Here is a 23,607-nt window from a genome sequence, read left to right as displayed (position 1 = left end):
ACTGTAATTGCATTTCTAAAAAGCTAAGTAGGGAGTGGGGGAAAAGAGGAAAGAGAAAAGAAAAGAAAAAAAATAATTAAACTATCTTAGAAAAATGGAGTACTGGGTTAAAATAGTGCAAGAGTTCCTCACCAGTTGTGGACCAGCAGCATCAGCGTCACTTGGAACTAAATAGAAGTGTGAAAATCCTCATCCATCTCCCCACCCCACCCCTTAGACCGCTTGGGCTTAGTTTTCCCAAGCCTTCCAGGAGATTCTAATGTGCACAGAAGTTTGAGAAGCACTCTTCTACACTGCAGCAATGGCTCTCAAACTTTGATAGATGTTGGAAACAGAATGCTTGTTCCTTTGTTAGAAATACTTGTTCCTCGGTACCTCAAGGAAAAATTAGCATTCAGACAAAAAGTTTTCTCAGCAAGGCAAATTTACTGTCTGCAGAAAGGGTGCTCCTCGCAGTTGGAACAATGGTGAGAGCACACCAGAACAAGGGAGGGGTGCGGGATCTTATTCCTAATGCAGGTAGCCCCTACTGCTGTGTTGTTCCCGTATTGGCTAGGGTGGGACCGCACAGTCTAAGCTAATTCCGATTGGCTATTTTAAAGAGAGCAGGGGTCTAAGCCAGAGTGGTGGGGTGAATAGTTTGGTGGGAAGGATGGTTAGGAACAGGTAACTAAAGGTGACTTAGGTCAGAGCAGGTGACTGGGATGAATCAGGACAGAGGAGGTGACCAGAGGTGAGTCAGGATGGAGCAGGTGACCAGGATGAGTCAGGATGGGGCAGGTGACCAGGGGAACAGATGTGAACTACTGATTAAAACTGGTGGAAAATTTTGTTTACTGAAACTATGAGGAAGTTAAACTTTAAAATGGAGGACAAAGAACTGAACATATTAACGTACTGATTCTTTGAAGAAAAATTTAGAATTCACTGCATCCAACAATAGACATGAGAATCACCTGGAACCTCTAAAAAAATCCACATGCCCAGGTCATGCCTCATCCCAATGAAATCAGAGCCTGTGATTGAGGGAGCCAGGCACCAGTGTTTTCTAGTATTCTCCAGGGGATTCCACTGTGCAGCCACACTTGGGAACCAATGCTTTGCGGAAATTGAGCTGGATCCTTCCTGGTATTAAGGTTCTAGACTTTGCCTCTGAAATTCTGTCCTGTCTCCCTAGTGTTAAGTTACCTCAGGCAGAACATGAATGGTCTGAGAGCCTGGAAGGGATTAGTGTCTACATTGTTGCTGGGGGAAGTGGGTCTGCTTGCCTCTGATTTCTTATGTGCTTTTCAGAGAGGGATGATAAGGGGATTCTGTGCTGACTGGGTGCTCTCAGGCACTCCCAGCCACTTAAGTAACACAGGCAGAGAGGCCATAGTTCCACGGGGTTAAGACCTTTTAAAAGAAGTTCTTAGCAGCAGAGAAGCTGTTTTTATTTTGTTGGGTCCGTTGGTTCCATTCATTTATGAACATTTACCAGCCCCTTCCATGTGGTGAGCACTGAGCCAGGCTGCCGGGAGGTTCTGGGCCATTGAGGTGTAGAGAAACATGACCAGTCCTGCTTTTGGGGGTTCTCCAAAGACCTTGAAAGGCCACTGGGGTGCTCAGGAGCTCAGCTGGAGGGATGCTGTCTGCTGGCGAGGACTGGGGCTGCTGCAGGAAGGATGGGACCTGCAAGCTGGGCCCGCCAGAGGACAGTGGCATCCAGATGGGGGCAAAGGCATGAGCAAAGGCACTGGGGTACAGGGATGTTGTGGGAGCGTGCAGGGGTCAGGGTTTGTGTCACTTGAGTGACAGCTCCCTCAGGCCCCCCTAACCTGTGACATGCATTTCATAGCCCTGCGAGGTGGGATGGAGGAGGATGCACTCCTGCCCCTGCTCCCACCCCAGCCTCCTGGGCAGGGTGGAAAGGCAGCCGTCCAAATAATGAGGCCATAAAGCCCCTCATGGCATTTGGGTCTTAAAGAAGGAAGGAAGGAAGGGGGTAAGGCCATTAGGAGCAGGAAGCAGTCTGTCCTTGCACTGTCTGCTGCCCAGAGCATCTGTCCCATCGGACATCCCTGGGAGGTCTTTGAACTTTGGAGGCAGCAGGCTCTCTCAACTGCAGCCCCTCCTGCAGGTGGGCTAATCCCCTCCTCCAACTGGCCTTTGAAGGGTATAGGAAGTGCTGGGGGCTGGTTCCTACTGCCCATTAAAATGGCTTCCCCTAGGAGAACCAGTGACAGAGGCTGCCCCTAAGGGGGGCAGCAGGCACCTAGGAAGCTGGTGTGGGGGATGGGCTCAATTTTCATCTCACAACCCTTGATAGCCTTTGAATTTCTACCATGTACTTATTTTAGTGACTCAATAAAGTAACGGGTGCCACCAGCCAGGCCTTCTCCTGCTATTGGCTGAGGTAAACCCTCCCTGAGAAATCTGCCAGTCAAAATTGTCAGTAGAAAGCTTATTCAATCTCAGCTTCCAAGGAATCCAAGTTGCTAAGTGTAGGTGGAATTGGAAAAATCTTGTCTAGTGCAGGGATATAAGCAGTTTAAAAGGGAAACAAAAGTACTTGCTGTTCTTTTGTTTCTTTGTGGGAGAAAAACAGGCTGATAGAAAACCAATTGACCTAGAGCATTTCCTCTGAATAAACACTTTTAAAAGATGTTGTTTTGAGAGCTGACTGTGAGGTTTACCAGAACAAACCAAATTTCATCTTGAAATCCGCGAAGGGACTTTCAATGGTTCCCAATTTGATGTATCTTTTCAAGTTTCTGTGGCTGGATTATGCAAAGGTAGAAACTTTGAGGTAGGCCAGAAGGCTGATTTCAGCCCAGCATTTAGGAGTCCCTGCGTGCTGAGGGACTTTCCGCGGCTGGCTGTGAGGCCGTGGGCAGGTTGCTTCTCTCTGGACTTCAGTTTCCACATAGGTTCAGATGAGGGAGCTACAAGGTCCCTTTAAGTCTCAAACCCTGCAGCTCTTTAAGGCCTGTATCTCAACTGTGAAAGGAGTTACCATTCTGCAGCAGTCTCCTGGCAATATGTTTTTAATGTACAAAAGTTTAAGGTAACTAAAAGGGGAGGACGGATGAATGTCACAAAGAATTCAAAGTTCTCTACCCCCACCCCATGCCCCCCGCCATCGTTCCCAAGCCCATGTGGACTTGGTGCCCACGTAACATCTCATGGTGCCAGTCACATCACGCTTCCTCTTCTAGCCTCGGGTGTATGTGGGAAAGTCAGAGGGTAGGCACAGGTAATGTCTCGGACCTGTACTTATGATAAGAGACTAGGAGGTGTCCGGGAAGAAGGGAACCAACCCTGAACCCCGCCTCCTGAATGCCCTGGAACACTGAGTGCCCCCGGGAGTGGCCCCGGAGAACAGAGGTGTCATTGCTTCAAGCTGGTCCAAGATTTTAGCTGCTTCTCAACACCTGTTCTCCCCAAAGCCACATCCACGCTGTGTTGCAGGCGAGTCCCAGTGCCCCGTGACCAGATGCCCCCGGCTTTCCACCTCTAACCCCAAGAGGGATTTTCCTGCTGGTTTCGAGCATGCAGTTCACAGTACCTGAGGGCTCCCAGCCTCCACGTGGCCACTTCCGCACAGCTTAGCAGGTGCCGGTTCTTTGCTCTCGATTGAGTGTGGGGGCAATTGCATCCTCAGTGACTGCACCGTGTATGGAGGTTCAATGCATGGGCTGCCCGGGCTCAAGCTGTGCTTGGCCAGTTACCTCAGGCAAGCTTCCCAACTTCTCCTGGCCTCAGTTCCCTCATCTGTGAAGTGGAATAATAATAATTCATGAGATGATATATGTAATGAGTAGTGATTTTCACATTGAAAACAGTTCTCTTTCCCAGGTACTCCCCACTTGGTGGGCATGAGTGCCCCTTGTAGAGTATTTTCCTTTCTCTGCTCTGTCAATATTGTTCCCACTCTCAGCATCCCATTTAGCATCTGTGTTGAGGGGTGGCTCCACCTTTGCCTGTACCTCAGGGGCATGTTCCATGTGCACACACAAGTGCTTAGCGTCATACCTGGCATGTGTTGGGCAGTGGAAGCTGTGCTGGTGGATGGATAAGAGCATGAATGGAAGAAATTTAGGGTATCTGTTCAGGTTCTCTGAATGCCTTGGGCTTCCCGAGGCTCTGACCTGAATGAGTAGCAACCTTCACAGACCAGGAGTGTATGAATCCCCACCTCTAAGGGAATATGATGAACACAGCCCACAGTGGTGATACACCGTCAGTTTTACCGTGCCTGCCCCCACCACCACCGCGCTGGCCACCACGATGCCCAACACATCTGCCATTATAGTCGCCCCTCCGGGGAATGTGCTAAGGCAGATGATGTTAAAATACAAAGCACCTGGGGGGCAAGGGGAGGGTCCTCTGAATCAGGGACATCAACGGGAGGGTAGGAGCAGACAGCCTGGGTGCAGGACATTGTTGCGGGGCTGGGGATGGGAAGGGAAAGAATCACATCCCCCAACCCGCAGAGCTTGGGGTTGCAGACCCCAGAGGATGCATTGAGTGGGGAGATTTGCCTTGACCTTCTGATGTGCTTGCCTTGTAGCACTCCGCAAGAAACAGATACTGAAGACTTGGAGTGGCTGTAGACTTCCCTAAAACTGAGGAATTGCTCTCCACGTACACATGATTTTTGCTACGCACTGTTAGCAGCAAGTTCCTCCTCGACACCTGGAGGGTTGACTGTTAGCCTGGGGTTTTCATCTTCAGGAGCTTTTAGCCATCTTTCCATTTCCTGCCCTGTCCCAGCCCTGTGTCTGCAGCACCATTAGATGAATTACTCTCTAGGCTCAGAAGCAGAAAGCATATTCTTATTCTCACCAAATCGCCCTGTTTCCTTCAACAAAGTTCCATGATAACTGACAGCGCTCTGCTCCAGCAGTCTTTCCTTGGCAGAGCCTTGGGAGTACATTTCTCTAAAGAGAAGCACTTTGTACTCTTCAGCTCTGCTGTGTTCTTGCTTAATAAGCCGTGCACGTGGTCTTCTGATAGAGCCACCCTGAAACCAAAATCCAGGAGGTGGTTCCTCCCGTCATTCGCAGTGCACCCTTGGCAGACCAGGAGAGGTGAATGGAGCCATGAGCTGCATCCTCGGAGCCCTCCCTGTCTGCACACCTGCCTCTAACAGATACAGTGGGGCCTGAGGAAGGCCCGCCGCAGACTTGAAGGGGGAACAGGAGTCCCAGAAAGCCAACACGTACCCGCCTTGTTCGTCCTGCGGTGTTTAGAGTGGGAGGTTTACACGGCTTCGCCACTTTCTGGCAGGTCATCTGGGTTTTTTTGCCAGGAGCATTTCTGTGTCCTGGGCCAGAGCAGGCCCCAGAAGGGAGAGCAGCTCGGGCCCTGTGACATTCATCACGTGCATGGGTAGTTTCAAAAGAGCTCAGTGCTTTCATAAATTTGTCTTCCTAAGTAAAAATTAGGTTTTCTGCATAAATTATCGTCCTCTAAAAACCTAAGGAGAGCCTCACAAGACCTTTTCCCATAATTATCTCCCTTGCTCTGCCGCATTGAATTTCGCCATACGCGCTTTTGTAGCAGATGAAAGCACATTCTTTGACTAAATTCATTAGAAACTGAGAAGATCCCAGGTTTAATTACACTGCATGCCATCCATAGGAAGGTGCCTCGGGGGTCCCCCTTCCTGCTTGAGGTCACATTTGCTCTCCAGCATCCTGTCACTGTCCACAGCACACAGTGCAGCCCGGTGGTTTCTCCTTCACTTGGATGCAAAGAGCTTTTGGTTCTGACTCTTCAAGTCTAAGAAATCCACAGCAGCCCTGGAATTGGGAGGGTTTTCACGGATGACGGCATCCGCACGACCATCTGGGAGGGTAAACTGGGTGTAAATTAAGATCACGTGAAGAGTCAGTACGTGATAACAGGCAAAGGGCTCCCTTTTCTGAATGCCCACGCTTTCAGCTCCTGATGTCTACACCTGGCCACTAATTGTTCTCCAGCTGTGTTATGAGATTGGGTTATTTCTCCAAGTATCTGTGAGTAATTTGTGGGCAAAGATATGCTATGATGATATCCAATGAGGTGATATCCAGGGCTCCCACCTCAAGTTAGCCAATCAGGTTCTCACTTAGGCTTGTGTGGTCTGGGTGCTAGCAGTTAGTCACTTGTGCCTATTTAAATTTCTCTTAATTAAAAATTAGTTCCTCGGTCACACTAGCACATTTCAAACTCTTAGTAGCCACACGTGGCCAGTGGCCACAATATCAGGCAGCCCACATAGAGACTTTCCCGTCATCGCAGAAAGTTTTATTGAACAGCACTGGCCTAGGCTACATACCAATAGCCTGCTGATTTCTCTGTGATCCCCACCAGGCCATGGGCTTCCTGCAGAGGCTGTGTGTCACTCACTGCTATGGGCCTGGTGCTCTGCAAAATGCCTGGTGCAAGATGGTGCAAAATCTACTCTTGAAAGAATGAAGAACAACTACGCCTTAAATTGTGCCCAGCCTTCTAGATCAAGAATCATGAAGTTATTCCCTTCTAGATTGGAAACCTTTGAATAGCCACCTGGTTCATGCCCCTCATCTCTCAGCTAGGAAAACAAGCCCAGGAGTTTAGGAACCTTGCTTAACATCCCCATAATAATTATTGTCAGGTCTTTAACCATGATCTCTTTCTCCTTGGACTATTGCACTGTAGCAGCAAGGAAGGCTTTACAAATGATTATTTACAAGAAACCTTCCTTAACCTCATCAGGGTTACCTACCTATGAGTAATCTGGAGCAAATGTATTCAGTGTGCAAACATTAGTAGCATTTCCAGTCGATATGGGAACAGGGCAAAGGTGCCCATGTTGTAACTGATATTTAATATTATTTTAGAAGTCCTGTTCAATTTCATAAGGCAAGAAATAAGGAATATAGAAAAGGATGAAGCAAAATGAGAATTGCCTGTATATTGTAAAAGAATCATCTGAAAAGCCATTGGAAGCAGTAGATGTTCATCATGGTATTGTATCATAAGACCAACATGCAGCAATCTGTAGTTTTCCTAAGTACAAGCAATCATTACAATAGAATAAAAAGCAGATCTTATTCACGGTTTCAACCAAAGATATGAAATACCCAAGAATGATGCTAATAGGAAATGTAAGACCGTCATGATGCAAACTAAAAACATTTGCCAAGGTCATTCAAAAAAAGCCTGGCAAAATGAAGAGGTGCCCTATGTCCTAAGATGGCAAGACTCAAACTTCTAATGATGTGATTTCTCCCCAAAGTAATCAGTGTATTCAGTGCAATCTCAAATTAGAATGACTTTTTATAGAATTTGACAAGCTAAAATCATAGGGAAGAATAAAATTCTCAAAATACCCAAGGCCATTCTGGAAAAAAAAACAAAAAAGAGAGAAAGGAAAAAGAATTGGTTCATTGCTTCTACTCCCTCTATTTGTCCTGAGGGGGGGCAGAGGTTCTTCTTAACATCCTACAGCCTTTTCACCTGAACTGGCTTTGTTCCCTCATATCACCTGGGGAGGCTATATTCTTATTCCATCATTATGGCATCATTCTAAACATCTTCACAATTTCTAACTGGAATCAGCTTTAGCACAGCCCCTCACAGTAGAATGGTTTCTCAGGTCAGAAACTAACATAACTTCATGGGTTTCTTTTCTGTGAAATATTTCAAATCTTTAACTCAGAGTCTATTCAAGTCATAAGGCCGTTTGCCTGCATTGGCTCTAGATGCATTTTTGGATGCTCTAAGCAGTGAGGACATTGTGGGAAGGAGAATGGGAGCCTCCCAAGCAGGTGCCACTCATTTGGGAGCCTGTGTCATTGCGTGTTCATATTGGGACCATCCTATCATGAAGCCATGGCATGCCCAGGAGGCATTGGGGGGAGGCACGCTGTGGGTATCCTCTGTCCTATGTGCTGATGGTGCATTACATAGACCTAGGTGCTCATATGCTGCTTTCATGTCAAGCCATTGATTGATCCCAGTCCTGTGTCCAGCTGTGCTCTGAGAGCTGATGGAGTGGAGAAAGGTGAGACCAGCTCACTCCCTAAGGACTGTCTTTGTCAAGTGGGAGCAAGATCAGAGTGGCAGGAGCTGGTGAGCCCATGGAATCTATTAGGACCAGAAAACAGCATTTCACAGAGATGGCAGGAGCTTCAGCCCTATAGTCCAATGTCCCTTGAGCTTTTACCAAGTCCAGGCTACTGCATACACTCTGAAGCAAGGAGGAGTGTGACCTGCCGCATTCAAACCTAGATCTACTGTTGGGAGCCAAAAAGAATGGGAGGCTGTGCCCTAGGCCACCATCTTCATCCCCTTCCTATGGAGAGCAACACATGGTATAGATGAGTGGTCATTAGTGATTGTCCTTCAGAGGTGTCCTGAGGGCATCTGCAGTCCTGGATGGGGGTAGCCACTTACCAAGAACAGTGGGCCTCTAAGACTTAAGCTTTACTCCAGGAGTCTTACCACAGTCCCTAAACCACATCTGCTAGAACAGACGTGTTGTTCTCTTAGCTCATTGCAGAGAAAGAACGGGAATAAAGGCGTTGAAGTGGGGTGGGAACTTTTCCTTTCCCCGCCAGTCCACCTGCCTTATAGTATGACTTCCCTCCTTAGGCCACAGCTCTCTGAGAGCACCTGAGTTTTCAGCTCGAGGGGCTGCAACTTGCTTTGCTCAAGCGAATGTGTGTGCTTAGCAGAAGCAAGGCCATTCTTCTCCACTGTGCCTACTACTGCCAGGCACTTTGGTGGCTGTTTTCGCATGTGACCCTGACCCCTATTCCCTTAGAGAATGTAAACTCTGTATTCTCAGTGCCTAGAACAGGATCTGGCATGCAGAAGGCGTTCAACAAATACTTGTTGAATGAATGAATGAATGACATTCAGTATTATTATCCCTGTTTAGTCATAGATGAGGAAACTAAGGCTCAGAGGTATGTTTCTTTCTCAAGAGGCAGAGCTGACATTTTCTTCTAGGTTGGTCTGACTGCAAAGCCAGGGATGCTTCTAGATGGGAAGGAGTACTTTGTATCATCCTCCCTGGCTGCTGACACCTTCTCATCAAAGCCATCAGGACATTGGAGGCTGGCTGGGACTTTGAGCTGGCCACTGTGTATGCACGTGTCCCTGGAGTGCAGGGGTGGAGGAGGGTGTGCTGAATACGGGAGACTAAGCAGCTAGCGCCTGGTGCCTGATACTGTTAACTTGTCTGGGAAAGATGGTTTCAGAGAAAGAAGGCCAGCTAGGAGTGCAGATTCTGCTCTTCTGCATGACTTGAGCAAATCACTCTACTCTTACAGCCTTCAAAGGTGCTCAGCAAGAATAGGGGAGATGATGGCCGCTTCTATCCCTGTTACATCTGGAGGCTGTGAAGACACACTGGTAAAATAAGTGAAATGCTCAGACAAAGTGGTAGTGGCCCAGTGCACTGCACCTTGACAGAGCGAGAGTCTAAAGTAAGGGTGAAAGGTGAAAATAGAATGGTCCAAATGATCTTTGAAAACTTCCTAGGAGCTACCATATTCAACTGTGTCTGTCTACATCCTTCATACCCAGATTTCCTGCCACTGTTGGAAACAGCAGCCATTTCTTAGAGCATCAGATAGAATTTAAACTTCACTAGCCAAGCGTGGTGGCGTGCACCTGTAATCCCAGCTACTTGGGAAGCTGAGACAGGAGGATCACTTGAGGCCAGGAGTTTGAGGCTGCAGTGAACTGTGATCATGCCACTGCACTCCAGCTTGGGTGATAGAGTGAGACCCTGTCTATTAATTAAAATTATAAAATTTAGATTTCAAATATTAAGACTCCACACCTCCTGCCCATGTTGTATAAAAAAAAATGTGGATCATGAAGCACCAGAGTCACCCTCAGCATGGGGTGGTGCTTGCAGCAAGAAACCCCAAGAGAAGGGTGGATACATGGCTTTATCTCACACACTCTCAGGGTGTCAGTGTGCACAAGCAAACACACGCTTGCTGACTGGAATAGGGGACAGAATCTCCCGTGCTTCATTCTCTCTGTCTCTCTTTATCTGTCTCAATAAGTTGAATTTTTGGTAAAAGTTAAAAGCCTACTTGATGTGAATCTTGTAAATGTATGGAGATGTATGTGTGTATATATGTACGTACGTGTAAGTGTAGGTATATACCTGTCCTATATACCTATAGAGAACTATATAGAACTATATAGTTATATGTATACACATATATATACATATATAGTTATATATACACATATATATACATATATAGTTATATATACACATATATACATATATAGTTATATATACACATATATATACATATATAGTTATATATATACACAAATATATACATATATAGTTATATATATACACATATACATATATAGTTCTATATACACATATATATACATATAGTTATATATATACACAGATATATAACTATATATAGTTATACACATATATATAATGTGTATGTGTGCATATATACTGTGTATATGTGCATATGTATATATATGTGTATATGTGCCTATATATAATGTGTATATGTGCATATATATACACATATAATGTGTATATGTGCATATATATACACATATAATGTGTATATGTGCATATATATACACATATAATGTGTATATGTGCATATATATACACATATAATGTGTATATGTGCATATATATACACATATAATGTGTATATGTGCATATATATACACATATAATGTGTATATGTGCATATATATACACATATAATGTGTATATGTGCATATATATACACATATAATGTGTATATGTGCATATATATACACATATAATGTGTATATGTGCATATATATAACTATATGTGTATATATAACTATATAGTTATATATACACATATATACACATATAGATAGTTATATATATAACATATATATAACTATATAGTTATATATAGGTATATAGGACAGGTATATACCTACACTTACATGTACGTATATATGTCTACACAAACCCAGGCAAGGCTACTTTGACTGAAGGCTGTACCTGACTCATGCACCTTACATCAAAATCCCATGTATATAGATTCAAGAATTGAGTACTTGCTTGTCACTTCAGTCCTCTGGTTAGCTTAGAGAGGCTGTGTGTATTGTATGAGTGTTATCCATATTTACCTGCTATGATGTTGTCTATTCTAGAAAAATACACTGAACACCAACACTATATTGGTCATTATTTATCCATTGGTGATTCCGAAGTTTGTACTGTTTTAGGATGATTCTTACTGACATGGTACTATGTGCATTTGAAGTACAGCTAAATCTATGGCGACCCCCAGTCTACTCTGGGGTTCGCCTTATTGCTGAATCCCTGAAAGCTGGTGGGCTCATTTTTCTGTACAAAACACAAACAAATACCTTCTCCGCAGTGAGAGGCTTTTGATGCTATTGCTGCCTATTTGTTTTGTTCTCCGTAAAGGGGGTTATTGATGATCATGGAAATTGACCCTGTTCTTCTACCTGTAAATGAGTGCAGCCTGTTATCCCCTAGTGGCATTTAATCTTGTAGGTAGCATTTCTGAGTAGCTCAAGACTGGGGGCACAATCTGGTCCTTGGCAAGAAGTACTGACTGGAGAATTTCCCCTCTGGTGCAGAGCTGGCCTGTTAATTATTGTTATGTTGATTAGCAATAACAAATACACATCTGCCCACTATTTCTTAGAAACTGCCATGGGCCATTCCAGTTACTGCAAAGTCAATAAGCATCTATTGAATAGGAATTGCCAGGCAGTATCCCCACAGGGCTATGAAAGTAGGGCTGGAGTCAGCCTTCCATGGAGAGGCTGTGTTCACGGGAGCCCAAGCTCTTCATCCCACTCCGGGGATTCATTCCACAGACTCAGCCAAGACTACTTTGAGGTGAGGCCGGACCTGACGCCTACACCTGACATCAAAATCCCAAAGCTTCTGAGAGACAGGTACGGTCAGAGCCAGGTAAAGCTGAAGCTTCCAGAGTGGCAGAGGTTCCGTCTAGAACACCTACTCATGTCCTGCGAGATTCGGAAGCCAGGAGGGGTCGAGTGCTGTGGGAATCCTCTCAGAACTCGCCGCACGGTGTGCTTTGTGTCTCCCAAAACAAATACAGAGCAGCATGTTATTTTAAGATAAAATCAAGTCAAGGCCATGAAGTTATGACTGTGTCTGATAAAGCTGGGCCACGTGAGACACAAGGCCCATCTGTGCCCTCAGCCCCACAGTCACTGAAAGTTAAAATTACTGGGCATACTTAATGCCACACGTTTTCGTTAAATATAATGTTGCCAGAAATAATAAATGCCCTGGGACATAAACTTAAACTAATATGAGTTTCTCAGTCAAAGTAATCTTTAATTTAAACTAAAAATAGCCTAGACAGTAGTTGATGTCAGCCTCAAGTATCAAGGCTCCTCCCGGTCTAATGCTGGTTAATCAAACTGTAAAGTGATGAGCCGCTTGGCATGTAAACATTTTAAAGGAGATCAAGCGTGATCTATATTAGAGACAAACTCCAGAAACCCAAGAATCCCACTCGGCTGATTTTGCTGACTGGAACATTCCTTGGGGAAGTCCTCTCGGCCGGCAGAGTGAAACGCTCACTGGACGTGGTGTGCTTCGGTTGGCCACATCCCTGTGAGGAATATGGAGTTGCCAACAGCACAGCCATCTTTTCCAAGCGCTTTTGTAACCATCCTGTGTGTCTCCTCAATCACCAGGTTCTCTGGCCAGGAGAAGAGGCCCTGTGGGAAGAAGGAGCCCCTTTCATTTGATAACCAAGTTGTCTACTGAGAAAGCTCATGAAATTTTCTTCCATAAATGAGGAGACCATCCTCCCAGGGCTTGAGTCTCCTCCCATTGTGGTTTTCCAAGCAACATCCATGTTTGAAAAACCCTTCTGGTAGCTGCCCAGGAGATCCCAGCCAGGGAGAATGGGAGCAGCTTGTCCAAGTGCACGGTTAGAATACTTAATTCATGTGTTGATCCTCCATCGACTTGTGCCCCAGGTTTGAAAAGTTCTCATTACCTGAGGTGGGAGATGCCTCTGATCCTGGCCAAGGTAGGGAAAGAGGTTTTAGAGAATGCCTACAGGGAGAGTTGTTTTCTTAAGGGACTTGAATATTTCTCAAAGTAAGATAATGCTGTATCCATTTGGTGAATGTGCAAATTTTGTAACGTTTGACACTGCAGCTGATGAGACCCTCTTTACTGGGGGGCCATTCCAGGAGAAACGGGTTTTCTGAGTGGGGTATTTGAGGGGCAGTGACCCAGGCAAGTGCAACCTCTGTGTAAGTTCCCAGATGATTTTCCCCAGAACGCAGCTCATGGTTCCAGACCCTGTGGCTTCCTGAAACTATGCATGTTCTTAAAGAGGCAAAACGTTCCTTTCTCTTAGGCTTACATTCCTGAATGTTTCACATCGTTGATACAATGAAGGCCTTGCATTTGCCTCGTTGCTTCCAAGTGCAAGATCATGTTCCAAGTAGAGACTCTAGTCTGTGACTCAGACTAGGACTCCAGGGTCTGTGAGTTGTGACCCTTATGAAGAGACATTGTTAATGCTGATTAAGACCATGCCTGCCAAGGCTGGAGATAGCAATTTGACCTGGTCCACATGCAATGGTTACACCATGAGGTGGCAGCTGGAGCCACTTTTTTCATGAGACATTTTATTTCTATAACCTCTGTACATTTGGCGGAGTTCATTGAAATCCATCAAAACTTTCAGAAGACCTGCTCATTTAAAAACTCTCTCACCAGTTTTATTTAAAGAAAGAAAATCAAACCCTAAGTCAAATTTAAGATAGTTGACTTTTAATGTCCTTTGCTAAGCATACTTGAAAAACCAGTCAGTTCCTTTAACAGTTAACATGAAATAGAGAAAGAAAAAGCTACCAGGTAGAAGAAAATAAAAAGCTGATTTCACCTAACATAAAGTCCTTAAGGTTCACCCATGTTGTTGCATATCGCAGAATTTCTTTTTTTAAGACTGAATAATATTTCATTGTATGTATAGACTACATTTTATTGATCCATCTATCAGTGGCTGTTTAGGTTGGGTTCATATCTTGGCTATTGTGAATAATGCTGTAACTGAACGTGGGAGTGATGTCTCTTGGAGATTCTGGTTTCAATTTTTTTGCGTAAATATTTTGAAATAGAATTGTTGGATCATGCAGTAGTTTTATTTTTAATTTTTTGAGGAACCTCCATACTGTTTTTTTCATAGCATCTATACCATTTTGCATTCTTACCAACGCCATGCAGGGGTTTTAATTTCTCTGCATTCTCACAGACATTTGTCATGTTTTGTATTTTCATAGTAAACATCATGAGAGGTGTAAGGTGGTATCTCATCAGGGTTTTGATTTGTGTTTCTCTGATGATTAGTGACGTTGGGCATCTTTTCACGTGCCTGCTGGCCATTTGTATGTCTTCTTTAGAGAAACGTCTTCTCAAGTCTTTAGCCCATTTTTAACTGGGTTGTTAGTTTTTTTGCTATTGAGTTGTAGGAGCTTCATATATATTTTAAAACTTAATCCGTTACTTTATGCTAAATGAAATAAGCTAGTTGCAGAAGGAAAAATACTGCAGGATTCCACTTACATAAGGCATCTAAGATAGTCAAATTCATAGAATCAAAGAGTGGGCTTGTATTGCCAGGGGCTGGAGGGAGGAGGAAGGGGGAGCTGCTCGTCAGTAAGCATCGAGTTTCAGTGGAGCTCAGGAGAGCTGCTGAACAGCATTGCAATTGTAGTCCGCAATACTGTATTGTAAGCTTAAAAACTTCAGAGGGCAGCTCTCATGTGAAGTGTTTTTACCACTGTGAAATACAGTTAAAGAAAATGAACCTCAAAAAAAGAATTCATACTGAGAGTGAAAGTAAAAAGAATTTTTTTGGTGCCAAGGATGAATATATTTTTAAAATCTTTTTTATTTGTAACAGGATTTTTTTAAAGCTGAATGGAGATTGCTTTCTCATGCACTTGTGTATAAGTAAACATTTTCTGTTGCTCACCCAAAAGTAAAGTAAAAAGCTGAGTAATTGCATTGAAAAAATAGAACTCACTTTATTCAACAAAGTGACCATTAAGCAGTGGCTGACGCCTGTAATCCCAGCACTTTGGGAGGCCGAGGCGGGCGGATCACAAGGTCAAGAGGTTGAGACCATCCTGGCCAACATGGTGAAACCCTGTCTCTACTAAAAATACAAAAATTAGCCAGGCGTGCTGGCGCGTGCCTCTAGTCCCAGCTATTCGGGAGGCTGAGGCAGGAGAATAGCTTGAACGCGGGAGGCAGAGGTTGCAGTGATCCGAGATTCTGCCACTGCACTCCAGCCTGGGTGACTGAGCAAGACTCCATCTCAGGAAAAAAAAAAAAAAAGAATATAGCTAAACTGTTCTCACTGGCCATATTTGTCTGATAATTTCTTCAGTCTTCCTTTAACCCTAATTGGATAGATACCTGACACTGAGGCATGAGGACGAGACTGAATCTAACGAGAGGTGACTTTTGCCATTCTGCCAAGCAGTCTGCCACCACGCCAGATCAACACACTTGTCATGGATATGAGTTGTCCGGTATTTTTTTGGCACTTTCTTTGCTATTAAACAGATAATTCGTTCAATAAATATTTTTACCAAATGCTCGCTTTGCACCAGTTTCTGCTGCCCTGAGAAAATAGGGTGAGTTGGAAGAGCCTGTGGGCCTCCAGTCAGGAGGGTCTGAGGTTGATAGCAGTCCAGACCACGCGAAAATATGGCCATCTATACCTAGGTGGCGATGCAGACACTCCCTTTTCAGAAATGACTCTAGTTGGTCACTTGAGCAATTAAGCAAAAAATTGATTCAAGTGGAGAAATAACAAGACATTATATGTAAGTGCCTTAGACATTTTGTTTTAACTTAAGCTATAAAAACATTAGTTTTTTTCAACAATTTTGTAATGGAGAGGGAAAGCCTCTTCTTTGAGGACGGGTGTCTGCCAATTGGACTTCCATGTCACCTTCTGATATGGTTTGGCTGTGTCCCCACCCAAATCTCATTTTGAATTGTAATCCAATGTGTCGAGGGAGGGACCCGCTGGGAGGTGATTGGATCATGAGGGTGGTTTCCTCTGTCCTGTTCTTGTGACAGTGAGAGAGTTCTCACAAGATCTGATGGGTTTGTAAGCATCTGGCATTTTCCTTGCTTGTGCTTCTCTCCCCTGCCACCATTTGAAGTAGGTCTTTGCTTCCCCTTCACCTTCTGCCATGATTGTAAGTTTCCTGAGGTCTCCCTGGCAGAACTGTGAGTCAGTTAAACCTCTTTCCTTTAAAAATTGCCCAGTTTCAAGTGTGAAACACTTTATAGCAGTGTGAAAATGGACTAATACACTTTCCTCACACAAAGCATGCCTATAATAAGAGTTTGAATCTAGTTTCTTTTATATGTGCATGTGTGTGTGTGTGTTTGTATACACATAAAAAGGATTGTAAAAGACTTGTGAAGCAGCCTTGGAGCAGATTTTTATGATTTATTCATCTTTCACAGTTGTCTTGCCCACACCCAGTTGGACAGCAGTCTATCTTAGCTACTGGCTAAATCTGTTTTCATGAGAACAACAACTTGGTGTTTGTCCCCATATTTCGTTGGTTAACCCAACATGTAGCCACATGTATGAATTGAAATAACAAGTGTCACTGACATCAGTAGGTTTAAGAATAAATACAATGGAAGATTGGTAAGGATGCCCCCCCTCCACTGACGGGGGAAGTCACATGTGGGTGATCAGAGAGGGCCCCGCTAGCCCAAAGTTCCAGAACACATGAGCGCCAGGCAGCGGATCCTCCAAAGGACATGGGTGACTTTAGCTGATCCAACTCCACGTGGGAGTTGGCCAAGGGAGCATCTCTGTAGGCAAAAGGGTGTGGGGGTGGCCTGCAGGCATGCAGAGAAGACAGGATGGGTTTCTTTTGGGGAGACACCACCATTAGGCAACAAGCAGGGTTGCTGACGGAAGATGGTCAGATATCTATGAGCAAACTAGGAAAACATGGCTCTAGAGCAGAGTTTAGAAACCTCTTTTATCATTATCTGTGTCAGTGTTCATCTCTTCTCCCAAGCTGGCAGTGATTTGAGGTCTTTTCCTTGTGGTCCGTTACCTGGCACTTGGAAAGTGTCTAATATTTTTGAATGAATGAAAGTACATGTTCTTTTTTGTTGTCGTTGTTCCACTGAGATTGTTGAAAGATGGTCATCCTTATACACGTTGGGGCATAAGAACTCTGGGTCAGCAAACTGGGCAACTGGATCTTGCGTGCTGCATGTCTTGGCTCACCCCAGTGAGGGCAAGTGTATAAGCTAAGATCACTGTTCAGCTCACAGTGTGATGAGCCCTCCAGGCCTAGACAGGCATCCTGGTATGTCTCAGGTATAGCTGAATAGGGAAGGTGACAGGTGTGATCTTGTTAGATGTGAAAGATAGAAAAGCCATACTCTGTAATGAGTTGGAAGGCTTAGATTCAGATCATTCTGTAAGTCAAGGTCTAGGATGGTACCCAGTGATTCCCGTTAGCACAGTGATTATCTCTAAGGAACAGAAACACCAAAACCATGAACATTGGAATATTTAATGTAAGAAAACAAGTCTAGCCATCAGAAGCTTAAAGTTTAAGAATTATCATGTCACAGTTAATTATCAGAGTTAATATACTTTGTTGATTTATTGTTATTTAGTGAATGCTATTAGTGTCTGTCATTTGCTCAATTTATCTTCATTCACTAAGCAAATCCTCACCCTCTATTTCTGTGAAAACACATGACTGTGGGTCTGCTGTGTGAGAACCACTTTCACGTTACGTCCGTTTTTGTTTTTAAGACTTGATTTACCTTAGCATGGTCCGCTAGCACCAGGAACTGGAAATGAGAAGCTTGTAGCATAAGCATCCCTCTCTCCTCCTTCTTGGACAGCTTGGGCATGAACCACGACGATGACCACTCATCTTGCGCTGGCAGGTCCCACATCATGTCAGGAGAGTGGGTGAAAGGCCGGAACCCAAGTGACCTCTCTTGGTCCTCCTGCAGCCGAGATGACCTTGAAAACTTCCTCAAGTAAGTCCTGGAATTATTCTATAGGATGAATGCAATCAAAAGTACTTCCAAAAGACAAAAGTATTGGAGTCTCAGCAAGTGTGAAGTGGAGAAATGACTCTCTTTTGGGATTTGCATCTAGCCTCAGGAGGCGGTCAGCGCAGAGTGTCCTATAATGGCAAGGACATCTCCCACATGCGCATCTGCTCCAGCGATGGGCGCACAGTGGGTGATCATTACGTAATTGCCGATCGACTCAAATGTCAACATAGTCACCCTGTCTTGAAAAGAAACCCATTTCATTCCTCTGCAGTGTTGTGACCGTGTGGTCACCTTGGGGCGCCCCTGGGCCGCTGCGGAATGGAGCATTTCCTGGTGTGGAGATGAAGGCCGCTTGCCTAGAGAGGGAGTGAATTTGCTGGGGGATGAGGGGTGGGTTTGCTCAGCTTCCTCACCTCTGGGGAGGGGAGGGCTGTGTTTATCTCACTGCTACTTTCTTCCCAGAAGGTGTCTGCACCCTTCCATTCTCAGATTTCTGTGGAAGAATCTGCCATCTGATTTCAGACCTTTGTCACAGTCTGTACCTGTGGACGGTGCCGGTCCCTGTCCCTTAGTGTCAAGACCTCAGGGTTGGGTTTACAGAGTGACTGTGCAGGCCCTGGTCACTGAGCTACTTAGCCGTGTGAATTCATGCACCCTGGGAGACAGCAGTGAGTCGGCGAGTCTCACCTGCAGATGGAGCTTCTCAGTCCAGTAGCACATTCAAGTACCCGACGAATTCAGGATGTAGTGGCAAAGGTGCCATCCTGGGTCTTTTTTCATGACGTTCCTTGTTCATGGGGAAATTGTTCAGTGGTAAACCAGCTTAACAATGCACTCATTACTTTTAATGTAGTCTACTTCCCACTGAGTATTTGATACCACAGATCTTAGGAAATGCTGTAAGCCCCTTGATGTTATTTCACTTCACCCAGAAGGGTCATGGCCACGAGATGGGTTGGGTTTGTTTGTTTGTTTCTTGAGATGGAGTCTCACTCTGTCTCCCAGGCTGGAGTGCAGTGGTGCGATCTTGGCTCACCACAACCTCTGTCTCCCAGGTTCAAGCAATTCTCCTGCCTCAGCCTCCCCAGTAGCTGGGATTACCGGCACGTGCCACCACACCCGGATAATTTTTGTATTTTTAGTAGAGATGGGGTTTCGCCATGTTGGCCAGGCTGGCCTCGAACTCCTGATCCGAGGTGATCTGCCTGCCTCGGCCTCCCAAAGTGCTGGGATTACAGGTGTGAGCTACCGCGCCCGGCCAAGATCAGGTGTTTTTATTTGCTCATGTACACAGCACTGGTGACAAGTAGTGTGTGTGAGCCCAGAAGTAAACCAGGATCAGTCTGTGTCTTGTGTTCATGCAACTCTTTCCTTAAGAATCTTGGCAAGTGACTGGGTTTTCTGCCTTAAACCATCTGCCTTTAGAAATTGAGAAATAAAAGCATTGTAGTAAGTAACCTCCTTTAGAGCCAGAGCCTCGCAATCCCCAGTTCACTTATTCATTTAGTTATTTATGAGTCAGAGTCTCACTCTCTCACCCAGGCTGGAGTGCAGTGGCGCTATCTTGGCTCACTGCAACCTCAGCCTCCTGAGTTCAAGTAATTCTCCTGCTTCAGCCTTCCAATTAGCTGGGACTACAGGTGGGACTACAACCATGCCTGGCTAATTTGTGTGTTTTTAGTAGAGACAGGAGTTTCCCCATGTTGGCCAGACTGGTCTTGAACTCCTGACCTCAAGTGATCCACCCACCTCAGCCTCCCAAAGTGCTGGGATTACTGGTGTGAGCCCCCGAGCCCGGCCCCCAGTTCACTCTTTTAGAGACGCGCCTCTCACTGTGAATGAATGCTCCCACCCCAGTTGAAATCCTGAAGTCCTCGGCGAGTGTTGCCAGTGGCTTTCAGGGATAGCGTGGTCAAGTGAGACACCGAGGTCCCACAAGCACTCGAAAAGAACCTGAAGAGTTGGAAATAAGCACTTTGATTTTATTTAAAGTAAAGCAAGTCTAACTTGTACTTGTTCTTTATTCATGATAGTTTTTGCTCAAAGCCATAGTCTAAGAAAATACGATAATCTCTTCCAAAATCATTTTCATCAAAGAAAGCTTTCAGACTCCCCAGTAAAAGTCCATCAGCCTTGTGGATGTCGTTCCTATGCCCCTCCCGAGTCTCCAGGTTCTTACTACCTTCAGAGCGAAGATTCACATTTGGCCATGTAGAAAAAGAGGAATGCACAGCAAAAAAGCGCAGTCTGTGTGTCCAGTGCCTGCGTCCTTTTTCCATAAGGAACGTGGAGGTGCCCTCTTCTCAGTGACTGAAAACTCAAAAAAAAAAAGAAAAAGAAAACAAAAAAACCTAGGCAGTACATTTGCAAGTCAACTTGCCTCTCGGCTGTTTCAGGTCAAAAGTCAGCACCTGCTTGCTAGTCACGGACCCCAGAAGCCAGCACACAGTACGCCTCCCGCACAAGCTGCCGGGCATGCACTACAGTGCCAACGAGCAGTGCCAGATCCTGTTTGGCATGAATGCCACCTTCTGCAGAAACATGGAGGTAAGCAGCCGTGGGAGGGCTGGCTCGGGACAGAGCATGGATCCAGCCCTCCCACAGCAGGTCTGGCTTCTGCTGGAGGACATGGGCATTCACACTCAGCACAGGCACATACACACACAAGCACAGGTATACATGTATATGCACACACACGTTTGCATACAGAGACATGCATAAACACACTCTCACAGGCATTTGCACATGTGTACCCCATATAGCCATACACACATACACACCTACACATGCAGTTGCAGGCACACATCTACACACAGTCCCCCACACGGGCACTTTTGCAGGGGAATCCTTCAGGGTTACTACTGACTCTGGTAGCCTAACATTTTAATATGGAAACCTGAGGACACTAGAGACGCAGGACACTGTCGCCTGACTTCAAACACTGCATGGATCAACAAGAGGGTTAAAACTATTAAACATTTGAGCGTATCAAATTGGGAAAATTTAACAAGTAATAAATTGATTATATGATAATAACCCCATTAAACAGTTACCGCTTGTTGAGCAATGCCTAAGTGTTTGGTACTAACGCTTCCAACATGTGTGATCCCAATTAGTCTTCACCATGGCTCCCGAGATCCTGTCCCTGGTTTACAGATGACAACACCAAGTCAAAGTAAGCAAACATTGAAAAAGGCTTTGTTAGTAGGTAGTAGAGCGAGGATTTGAACTCAAGTCTCATTCACCCCTGATTGCACACGTTTTCACCATGATGCAAACAGCAAGGTCTGTGACTTGGCTGGTTTTATGGGTGAGGGGTGCCAAGAGGGGCATGTGGGTACCCAGGGCAGGGCAGTCTCCATGCCTGTGGCCATCTGTGTAGCAGACAGGGAAGGCCCTGGCCACAGGGGAAGGCCAGGAGCCTGTGGTCCACCTGGCCCTGGCAGTGACGGGGCTAGGGGAGCAGAACCTGCACCATCCTGTGGAGAAGGAGGGCAGAAGTAGGGGAACCAGCCAGGGGTATGTGGAACTCAGCAGCCAGGCAGCAGGTGGTCAGCCTGAGGGAGGGCTATTCCAGCACTGGCACTCAGAAGCACACCTGGTCCCAAGGAGGATGTGTGGATGGCTGGGCAGGTTCCTGGAGCAAGCACTCGGGAGCAGCACCAAAGCACACAGGCACATGCAGGCTGCCTCCAGAATGCGGTCCCAATGCCCATTAGCCCAGACTCCTGGAGACAGATGCTGCCTCTTGAGTGCTTCCTGTCTGAGTATAAGTTAGTTTAGGAAATTGGGACACAACCTGCAGTTGGAGCATTGCCTGCCACCTTTGGGGTTGCTAAAAAGGGCAGCTCCTTAAAACCAGGCTGTTGTCTCCTACTGGCTGTTTCCCCAAAGGACGTTTATCCACACTGTAGTGCTGCTTCTGCCCTGCCATTCCCCTGGGGAGCACGCCTGCGAGGGTCCCCTCCAGAGACCAGTGGGAAGCTGTCACCCATGTCAGCCTCCCACTGGATGCCTGTACCTCCTGCCCCCAGCAGCAGGGTTGAAGGACACCTCCATGGGGAGATGTGATGAGCCCTAGGATGTGATCGTCCCCAGCATCCTGCAGCGGTGCCCAAACTCACCATCAGCCACTGTGTGGCTTGAGTGTTAAGGCTTATGCACACGCACAGTGCCTGCCAAGAGGCATTCTGTCTGCCTCCTCAGTCCCTGCAGTGCACGGATGGCACCGAGATGCCAGTAAAGAGCAGGTTTCAGGGAGTCCCTTGATGTGGAGACAGCATGAGATTGTGTGGTTGGGATACCAGGGAGGATGTCAGGCAGAGAAAAGGGCCCCAGACACTGGGGCTGGGGAAGTGGGTAGTGCCCAGCTGAGCCAAGGGACAGAGTGGTCACTCTGCCCACTGTGGAGTCCTCCGCAGGGCCAGTGAGATGTGGCGGGCCAGGCTGAGCTGGCCCTACAGGGCAGGATTAAGTGTGGTGGAGGCTGGGCAGAGACTGCCTGCTCCATGAGAGCCGGAGCTATTTTCCCTTCTAGGAGCCAAGCACTTGCATCCCGGTTGGATGAGGAGGGACAGAGGGAGGAAGGCACTTGTACTGGGGACTCACAGTCTCCCAGGCTGGACTTTGTCCTTGCACTGTCACACACAACCCTGACTGCAACCCCAAAGGCAAGGGCTTTTAACCCCATTTTAACAGATGAGAATATAGAAGCTAAGAGAGATTAGAAAACAAGCCAGGCTCACCCAGCTGGAAAGGGGTGGGCTGGAAAGCGAGCCCAGGGGTATCTGTTACTGAGGGAGGAAAGGAAAGCTACTGTCATTCAAAGATAGACCCCAAAGAGAGGAGGCAGGGGATGTGGTATTTTATTTTCCTTCAGAATCATATTTTCATGAGAGGAATTCAGTTAGAGGGCAACAAGCAATGATTCCCTCAGCTTTGTGACTCCTTTCTCCCTAGAAGCTCAAAATCCAAATGCATATCAAGTGAGATCTTCCCACGTGCCTTTTACATTGAAGCTGAACATTTATTCCTGGGCTCCCAAGGAACTGCAAAATATGTTTTCCTGTTTGCTTTTGCCTCGAGAGTTTCACCAGCAATAAAATAAATGTGTTTTTTCCTCTCCAATAACTAGCAGAAAGGATTTCTTAGGGGAGTGATGGAATGACAGTCCCCTTCATGGCCACCAGCCTCAGCTGGTCAGTGGTGATTGTCCTGCTTGCAAGGCTAGTGACACTTTCTTTAGAGGAATCTGACTGTGGGGTAGCAGTGACTGTGCACACTGGAGAAAATGTCACGATTGTTAGAAATAAATGCTTATTCCTCAGTGCCGAAAAGAAGAACTAGCACTGAAAGAATTTTCTCAGCAAAAGATAGGAGGTGTGACTCATGGATGGAGCAATGGTGAGAGCACACCTGAACAAGGGAGAGGAAGGGGTTCTTACTCCTGACTCAGGTAGCCCCTACTGCTGTGTTATTCCCCTTTTGGCTAGGATTGGACCACACAG

General features: G+C 45.9%; 1 protein-coding gene across 17 annotated transcripts in view; it reads left to right on the top strand.

Annotated features, from left to right (window-relative positions):
• The window catches only part of ADAMTS17 (ADAM metallopeptidase with thrombospondin type 1 motif 17), a 370,539-nt gene that overhangs the window by 168,717 nt on the left and 178,215 nt on the right, over positions 1-23,607 (top strand). For 15 of the 17 annotated variants that reach the window (XR_001751118.2, XR_001751120.2, XR_001751119.2 and 12 more), the window contains 2 exons: positions 17,939-18,079; positions 20,497-20,647. Coding sequence is in view for 14 of the 17 variants with exons in the window: in NM_139057.4 (NP_620688.2) it covers positions 17,939-18,079; positions 20,497-20,647 (292 nt within the window). In the remaining 3 variants the exon portion in view is untranslated. Of the gene's footprint in view, positions 1-10,881; positions 15,568-17,938; positions 18,080-20,496; positions 20,648-23,607 lie in introns of those variants that run through there. The other 2 variants (XM_017021980.2, XM_017021983.2) reach the window with 2 other exon arrangements.

The sequence above is a fragment of the Homo sapiens genome, chromosome 15 (genome assembly GCF_000001405.40).
Source record: "Homo sapiens chromosome 15, GRCh38.p14 Primary Assembly".
Taxonomy (NCBI): Eukaryota; Metazoa; Chordata; class Mammalia; order Primates; family Hominidae; genus Homo; species Homo sapiens.
The sequence above is the reverse complement of the archived record's forward strand: the minus strand, read 5'-3'. Positions and strand labels throughout refer to the sequence as shown.